General features: G+C 33.4%; 1 annotated feature.

Moving 5' to 3' along the window:
* Positions 374-888: an enhancer, noted in NCBI's record as "NANOG hESC enhancer chr4:29950070-29950584 (GRCh37/hg19 assembly coordinates)". NCBI's record gives its function as "activates a minimal SCP1, AML or CMV promoter by ChIP-STARR-seq in primed H9 embryonic stem cells {active_cell/tissue: H9 hESC(primed)}" and the evidence as "EXISTENCE:reporter gene assay evidence [ECO:0000049][PMID:30033119]".

Consider the following 5,457-nt stretch of genomic DNA (forward strand, 5'->3'; position numbering starts at 1 on the left):
AAAGCTGGTGTGGTTTGTCTTCGTGTCCCCACCCGAATTTCATCCGAAATTGTAATACCCATGTGTGGAGGAAGGGAACTGGTGGGAGGTGATTGGAACAGGTGACAATTTCTTCCATGGTGTTCTCCTGATAATGAGGGAGTTCTCGGGAGATCTGATGGTTTAAAAGTGGCAGTTTCCCCTATGTTTTCTCTCTCTTGCCCATAGCCTTGTAAGATGTGCCTTGCTTCCCCTTCACCTTCCACCATGATTGTAAGTTTCCTAAAGCCTCCCCAGCCATGCATAACTGTGAGTCAATTAAACCTCTTCTCTTTATAAATTAGTATCTCTATAGCAGTGTGAGAGCAGACTAATAACACAAAAACCTAGATATTTTGCAAATTGCATAGTGTTGTATTTACTGGTTGAGAATTGACCATTCAACAGGTTAGTGTTGCTCTCTTACGTTCCTTGTGAGAAAGCAACTGATATAAGATAATAGCTTTTTCACCCCATTCCTGTGGCTTTCCTAACACATTCACACTTAACTCTGCAAACTCTTCCTTTCCAAGCCTGCGGTTACTCTTTCTTCCCTGCTTTGCAAATCCTCACCCTCAGCATGTCACAATCTCCTAGACATCTACAAACAAATGCAATCTCTTCTTCTGAGGATGGATTGTTAAAAGAAAACACCCAAAATGAGGCTATGTAGATAGACATTAACAGGATTTTGTTCTTCACCTTTCCACTAGGCCCATGATAACAAATACACCATTATGTCTGCAAAGCCCCACATTCACTTAGAGATAAATAACAACTTTATTCATTTGAGTATTTAAAACCAACTCATTAACATCATAAAGACATTTACTTATGTTAATCATACATTCATTCAATAAACACCTTATTTACTCTCTGCTCTAAATAAGCCATAGTGATTCATTTTTTTCTTTTTTTGTGTCTGATATTTATTTAGTAGATAAAGGTATTCAAACTTTATAGCCTGGGCATGGTGACTCACACCTGCAATCCTAGCACTTTAGGAGGACAAGCCAGGAGGATGTCTTGAGCCCAGAAGTTTGAGACAAGCCTGGGCAATCAAATGAGACCCTGTCTCTTTTTATTAAACAAATAAATAAATAAAAATAAATAACTTTGTAGAAACTGTACTGTAGATGCACCATACTTTTGAAACAAAATAAATTTTGCACTATAAAATGTTAATTTAATTTAATAAGAATGTTTGCTTTCTTGGGAATTAAGTATTGTCAAATGTGGTAGTTACCTGTATAAAGATTACAGTCAAGCTACTGAAAGGCAACATTTTATTCATTCTATCCACATTATTTCTAAAATTATTCTGTAATTACAAGTATTTTTAGTACAAAAAAAAAGAATAAATGAAACCTACTATTTGCTAGCACAACAACGTGACCACAGTGAAAAACAAATTAATTGTACCTTTTAAAATAACGGAAAGTGTTTAATTGGATTGTTTGTAACACAAAGGATAAGTGATTGAGGTGATGGATACCACATTTACCCTGATGTGATTATTACACATTGGATACCTGTATCGAAATATCTCGTGTAACTCATAATTATATACACTTACTGTGTACCTATAAAAATCAGAAATAAAAATTACTTCAAAAATTATTCTTTATATACACTTCATTGTTTTGTATTAACGTTTCTAAAAGTACAATGTACATTTTCAGTAAGTATATTATTTTTCAACTAAGGTTAAATATAATAAGTAAAAGGTTGTCTGATGATATAATAAAGGTTTTATTTAAAATGAATATTTTAGCAATCATTTGAAGAGCATTTTATTAAAATATACAAACAAATATTTTAAGAACAGAAAATGTCCTGGTAAAAAGTTATCATAGAAAATATTGTCTGGCTGGGCACGGTAGCCCACGCCTGTAATCCCAGCACTGTGGAAGGCCGAGGTGGGCGGATCACAAGGTCAGGAGATCGAGACCATCCTGGCTAACACGGTGAAACCCCATCTCTACTAAAAATACAAAAAATTAGCCAGGTGTGGTGGTGTGCCCCTGTAGTCTCAGCTGCTGGGGAGGCTGAGGCAGGAGAATGGCATGAACCTGGGAGGTGGAGCTTGCAGTGAGCCGAGATTGCGCCACTGCACTCCAGCCTGGGCGACAGAGCCAGACTCCATCTCAAAATAAATAAATAAACAAATAAATAAGAAAATATTGTCTCCTTATAGATCAATTTACAGAAGAGGAAGAGCATTGAGTTGCTGGCCAAGGATGTTGTTCATGTGGATCATTCTCTTATGAAGTGATTGTTTTAAAAATTAATAATTTTGTTAGCTAATGTATCATGTTTCATTTATCACTTAAAGAGAGTGTGTTATGTAAAAACACTTTATTAAGTATATTTATGAGTAATTTAAAGATACATAAATCATGGGTCCTTAAACTATAAAATGTTCAAAGAGTGCTAATCATGATAAAATATCAAATAATGTTACATCATGGGTTAGCAAAAGAGTTTTTTATTATCTTTAGAATTTGTTCATAGTGAATAAGATTTGTCTTCTGATATGAGATATTGAATATCTTTCAAAAATCTACTATTCCAATTAAGTGTAATTCCACCAAAACACACAAGGTATTTGAATTGAAAATCTTTGCCTGCATGCCACATACCAGTCTTTCAGAATTTCATGATGTTGATTACTACCTAAAATAAAAGAAAGTAATTTAAATATCTATTTTTGTTATCTGAGGACAGATTAAAGGTCTTCACAAAAATTATACAGTGTCTTTAACATAAATTCAAGTAATACACACTTCCTAAAATTCTAATTTCAAAATGACACTAAGCTGTGATTTCATGATACAAAAAAAGTCTTTTGTTCACATAATCACTTAATTTTTAAAAAGGTTGAATATTGAAATGAAGAGCTAAAAATTTTCATTTGGAATCCTTTTGAAATACTTTAAAATCTACAAGTGAAAAACTTGGACCAGTTAATGCTATTACAAATATTTAAAGATTACATTAAATAAGATGTGAAAAATAGTATTTAATGCATGTATTCAATCAAATAAATGTATATTTTTGATACATTAGAGCAACTGCTATAATATAAAAATTCTTTAATAAGAGTGATAATAGTGATAAATAAATCCAAATTATTTCCCATGTATTTGAAGATGATCTTTTATGGAGAAGCTGTCACACAATCAATTATCATATGTCAAAGTTAGTTAATCTTCAAATATAAAAAGGAATATACATACCATTACAAAATAACTAAGGTAATCATTTATGAAAATTTTCCAGTTTGCAAATTGGGGTCATTTCTGAGGCTATTCTCACTAATGTAGCCACTAGCCATCTGTGAATACTGAACACTTGAAAAGTGGCTAGTCTAAATTGATATATGCTTTAAGCATAAAATATACACAGGATTTTCAATACTTGTATGAAAGAGTTAAAATATATTATCAATAATGTTTTATTGACTAGGTGTTGAAATGGTATGCTTTTAGAAATATTGGTTAAATGAAATATTTTATCAAATATATATTATCAAAATATAATTTACTTTTCTTAATGTGGCTTCTAAAAATGTTAATACCCACAATATATTCTACTGGATATTGCTGTTTTGATGATTATTTATTGATCAGTTTATTTAAAATCTTGGGGAAATTTTATCTCAATATATGCCTCAAGTATGTTATAGGATAAAGGCAAGTAATCCTTACTGACAAAAAGGAAAGGCTCAACTTCAAACAATATAATGATTATAGGTTATTCACTAGGAAAAGTCAGCCCATTATGTGGATTCATAAAATGAGAGAAATAAGATTGTCATATAATTGTTGCATGAAATAAGTAATCATGGATGTGAGACCAAATGTGCAAAGTCACCTCAAAAAGACCAAATGATTACCAGGACAGTGGAATTGCTTGTAACCTTTATAAGTAATGAAAATGCTAAAGAAAGACGAGGTCAGTAGGAAGAGTTGGGGGTGAAAATTTAAAAAAAAATAAAGAGCAAAGAAACGTAAATGCAAATATCAGTAATGCTCATCTAAACATCATGGATGAGAATGTGGTAGCTGTAATATCTAGTTTATTGAACAGAGGTGATGGTTCTGATATTTAATGAATTTTAACTGTGGCTTGATCTTTTTGTCTATGTCTTTTTTTTTTTTTTTTTTTTTTTTGAGACAGAGTCTTGCTCTGTCGACTAGGCTGGAGTGCAATGGAGCAACCTCGACTCACCGAAACCTCTGCCTCCCGGGTTCAAGCGATTCTCCTGTCTCAGCCTCCCGAGTAGCTGGGACTACAGGCATGAGCCACCACACCCAGCTAATTTTTGTATTTTTAGTAGACATGAGATTTCGCCATGTTGGCCAGGCTGATCTCGAACACTTAACCTCAGGTAATCCGCCCACCTCGGCCTCCCAAAGTGCTGGGATTATAGGCGTCAGCCATGGTACCCGGCCTATTTTATGTTTTATGATAGAAACCTAGTTTACCTGAATGCTGCTAAATATGAGACTCTGATAAATGGGAATGCCTGATTTGAAGTCTGATAAACAGGACGAGAATGTGAGATGAGTCTGGGAGGTCACTGGATGTTACCAAGCAGCCTCCTTCAACTATGGGCTGAATTTACCTCTTACTTAATATTGTTGAAATACATGGAGTTATTAGATGGATATTTGAACAGTATTCACATTAATATATTTTGTGATAGTTGATGCTATGGATACAAGTATATGCGTTTGCAGATGCATGTGTGTGTGAGAGAGAGAGGAGAGGGACAAACAACACATTTTACTGTACTACTGTAATCAAAGCCATGGAAGAACCATACAATGACTGTGACCTCTGGAAGGGGCAGAATTATGGCTTGTGTTTCACATATACTCATTAGATGCAGATATATATTTTTGAGACACAAATATGTCGACAAGAAATCATGGCTGTTGTTAATGCTTATCTAATTTATAATCATTTGCACATCTTGCCTAATGCTAAACAAATTTATCTTGGCCTCTTTATGTTATCCCTAGAGCCCAAATCTAAAGAGGAGATGATAAATGAAAGTTGATAAAATCTATCTTTGATAAAATATTAGGAATAAAATATTCGTTATTTTCAGAACTATGATATAGTAGTAAACTATATTTCTCTTCATACTTACTACTCATCAGTTTAATCATGATATTTTCAACTGTTTTCTAGAACCTCATATATCAGCCTGTGAAACATTCATAGTTACTGAAACTTTCTTGCTAGAAATTTTATGTCTTGGAAGATTGCTGCAAGAGGGACACAGTGTCTGAACAGTAGTAAAATTGTAGCTACCTTGAGGAGTATCTGCTTAGAAGAGGAAAGCTAAGCAGTAATAGATTAGAAGTGAGAGATCCTAGAGAGATAAACACCATAACCAAAAAGGAACATAGAAATAATGACCTTGAA

Source organism: Homo sapiens, chromosome 4, assembly GCF_000001405.40.
Source record: "Homo sapiens chromosome 4, GRCh38.p14 Primary Assembly".
Classification (NCBI taxonomy): domain Eukaryota; kingdom Metazoa; phylum Chordata; class Mammalia; order Primates; family Hominidae; genus Homo; species Homo sapiens.